The 3,647-nt window shown below is 52.4% G+C and overlaps 1 long non-coding RNA gene across 1 annotated transcript; it reads right to left on the bottom strand.

The window, feature by feature from the left end:
- Positions 1-1,134: 1,134 nt before the first annotated feature.
- Positions 1,135-3,164, bottom strand: LOC107986736 (uncharacterized). The gene is made up of 2 exons (XR_001745014.1): positions 2,636-3,164; positions 1,135-1,492 (listed from the first exon to the last, which is right to left on the bottom strand). It is a non-coding gene; the product is annotated as an uncharacterized LOC107986736 (long non-coding RNA).
- Between the last annotated feature and the right edge of the window lie 483 nt (positions 3,165-3,647).

The following is a 3,647-nucleotide window of genomic DNA, read 5'->3' on the forward strand; positions in this document are numbered from 1 at the left end:
AGTAGCCTGCCTCATGGCACTGCTAGTCTCTCCTGAGGGCCCAGCCGCCCCTGAGGACCCAAGCTTTAGGGTGAAGACTAGCAGATGAGCAGGACAGAGAACTGCTGATGTACAGAAACTGTTCTCTTGCTCTCTTCCTCCACGCCTGGGCCTGAGAACCTGGAGCTAGCTCTTTTTGGAGTTACAGAATTGGGAGAGAGGCCTTGGCTTCTCCTGCTATGACTGACTGATGACATGAGGAGCAGGGATGGTATGAGCCCTCAGACCTGGTTCCTTCCAGACCTGCCTGGGGCAAGTGGTGGCCCTGCTCCTCCCGTGCAACCCTTCCTTCTGGAGGGTCAGGAAGCCTGTCTCTCTTTTCCTCTTTGTCCCTGGTGTGTCCTTCTGGGTAAATGTGTCTGCTCTGCACACTTGAAGCTGCCCATGGAGGGGGTGTGTAGGTGGGAAGGAGTCCAGCTGTGGCTGCATGCCAGGCTCCAGAGTTTCCAGTGCACCTCACCAGTGGCAGAGTTGAGACACACATGTGCACACATGCACACACATGCACATACACATGCATACTCATGCACATACCCACAGCCACACACATACACATGGACCCACATGCACACATGTGGACACACAGAGACACACATGTACATGCACACACATACACATTTTCTATCAAACTGGCCTGTTTCCAGTTGGCTCCAGCCCACCAGGTGGGCAGTGAAGGTATGCTTACTGTCCTTAATACTTGCCCTAGGGGTAGTGACAGTGCTATTACCAGCTCCTGTGACTTTGTCACCAAGAGAAATCACAGATAGTTCCATATCCAATTACAGTTACGGCAGATACTCTGAAATATGGTTTCTCACCAGTGCTTTAAAATTACGGTGCTTCATAGACACAGGGAGGGGAACATCACACACTGGGGCCTGTCGGGGTTGGGGGACAAGGGAAGGGAGAGCGCTGGGACAAATACCTAATGCATGCGGGGCTTAAAGCCTAGATGACAGGTTGATAGGTGCAGCAAACCACCATGGCACATGTATACCTATGTAACAAACCTGCGCATTCTGCACATGTATCCCAGAACTTAAAGTGAAATAAAAATAAAATAAAATAAAATGAAATTACGGTGCTTGCTACACATTCTGCTGGATCTCGTTGTATTTAATGCATAATGAAGAAACACACATGTCACAATATCACAACTCCATTGCCTTTCAAATCGTAAGGGTTTTAGTCCATGCATTGGAAAACATTATTCTGCTCCTAGTCACATCTTTGGACGCCAGGACTCTTCTGACATGCCACAGGATAACTGTCCAAGCAACAGTCTACCACAAATGGTAGACACAATCACACTAAATTCCAGGAACCAATAGAAAATCCTCAGTGATGCATTCAACCAGGCCGAAAGCAGGAGAAGCAGAGGACACAGGCCATGGGGGTTGCTGGGCTCCTGCAGGGTGCTGGGTTATCTCTCCTCTGAGTGAGAAGGAAAGTGCTGGAAGGTGAAGGAAGATGATGGGATTTAAAACAGTGGTTCTGAAACATTTGCACTTGGTGTTCTTAAAAATATTGAGGGGACAAGGAACTTTTGTGTATATGTCTCTCCATGTTTAACATAAGAAATCCAAACAAAGGAATTTAAAAAATAGGAATACAAAGCAACCGTTCCATTCCATTAGTCATGGAGGTGCCAGAAAGCTCCACTTGGGAGAAAGTGAGAGTGAAAAGGCATTTTTTTCTTAGTATTTTTATGTCACAGGTATCCCAAAGGAGGCTGGGGGTGCCCACAGGAGTCCTCAGGGAGGCTGAGGTCAGGGGGAGGATGGGGAGCCCGGATGCTGTTTTGCATATGACTGGTGAGAGAAGCCTACAGACACCCAGGTGGAGATGTTACAGACAGACTGGAAACATGAAATGGCATTAAGGGGGAAGTCTCAGCTGGAGGTAAGCATTTAGGGGTCGTCCACATAGAGGTGCATTTGGAACTGAGGATGGAGTGTGAGGAGGTGAGAGAAGAGGCCCCAGACTGGGAACAGGAAAAGCTGGCACCAGAAGGGTGGTGTGGAGGTGGAGGGCAGCCAGGGATGGGAGAGGATGGCAATCAGTGTATGCCCTGACCTGAATGTGCCACATCTGTGCTCTGCTGTCTAGCCGGTGAGCTGTTTGCAGAGCTCTGGCTTTTGGATGCAAACAGCTCACCAGGACCCACATGTCTGGATGGTGGGGAAACCACTCCTTTCCCGTGAGCAGGCTCCTGTCTTCCCTTGTGTCTCCTCTGTGTAGGGAGGTGTCCTGCTCATTCATGCAGGGACTTCAACAGAAAGATGACCTTGCATGTGGGGAAAGGAATGGAGGTGCCTGAGACAATGCCTGGAGCCCCAGCTGCTCCCTGCTCCCCACATCCTGCCCTCCCCAAAATGGGGTTGAGCACCCAGCCCCACCCACCGCCATGGATCTCAGTGGCCCCTGCCTGCTCCTCCCAGGAGAGTGGAGATGTAAGGTAACTGGGGGGACTGTCCAGGCCCCCATGGGCGCCTCTGGTGAATGTCCATCCTGCTGCTCCCTAGAAAATTCCCTGCAAATAGAAGACGGCAAGGAGGGCTGCGAGCTGAGTGTGACTGTGGGTGAGGCCACTCACCTGCTCAGAGCCCCAGTTTCCACATGAGAAATTAGATCCATCCTGATGGTTTCTAGAAGTTAGAAACATGCAGTGGCAGTTGAAGAGCTTCTCAGTTCTGACCTCGGGACACACGTGTCCCCTTCCTTGGGGACTGCCTGTGCCACCTCCACTGGCTTGGTCATCTGGGTTCATGGTTCACACCCACCCTTCCAGGCTGCGGTTCCCTCCTGCTCCAACAGAAGGACCCTGTAGTGGAGGAGTGAGGGTGTACCTGGACACCAGCGCAAGATAGGAGGGGCCCCTGATTTCCCGGACGCCAGCTCGGAGCAGATGGCCTGGCAGGGAGGTTTTGCTTTTGCGCAGGGCCACAGAGCAAGGTAGGAGGGGCATCTTCAGATATTCTCAACCGGAACTCCTTATTCACACCAAATTGTGTTCTGACTTCCACCGCCATTCGTTCATTCATTCATTCATCCACTCAACAAATAAGGAGCAGCTGCGTTCCAGGCGCTGGTTGTGGCTGTGGCAGGGTGCAGGGAGCAGAAGTACGCGGTGAGACGGTGCATGCGCGCGCAATCAGATCCGGGTTAGCAGGATGCATCTTTGAGGTCCCCAAACCAAGCCACCTGCACGGACCCAATATCTCTGGCGCGTCCCGAACGCCGTGGATTGGCGTCTGCCGCCCCCTGCCGGCGGCGCGCTGCACTGCAGACACTGAACTCGCCCAATGGGTGCGCTGAGGGTGGAAGACCCTGACCCTGCTCTTCAAACCTCAAAGGGCAGTTTCTTCTCACTGATGAAGGGGCTGGTTGCTGTCTTAAGCATGTAAAAAGGAGGGCCATGCCTTTGAGGAGTGAACCGGGTTGTCTCATAGATCTGCTTAGGTTTGATTCAGAGCATCTCCAGCGCTCCCGTCCCTGGTGCATTGTAGAGACAGGAGCTGGAGGGGCCTGGGGACCTGCGGACCCAGTGTCACCTGCCCATACCCTTACACATTTCACAGACTAGGAGGGACAGGGAAAAGGGCTTT

The sequence above is a fragment of the Homo sapiens genome, chromosome 7 (assembly GCF_000001405.40).
Source record: "Homo sapiens chromosome 7, GRCh38.p14 Primary Assembly".
In the NCBI taxonomy this organism is placed as follows: domain Eukaryota; kingdom Metazoa; phylum Chordata; class Mammalia; order Primates; family Hominidae; genus Homo; species Homo sapiens.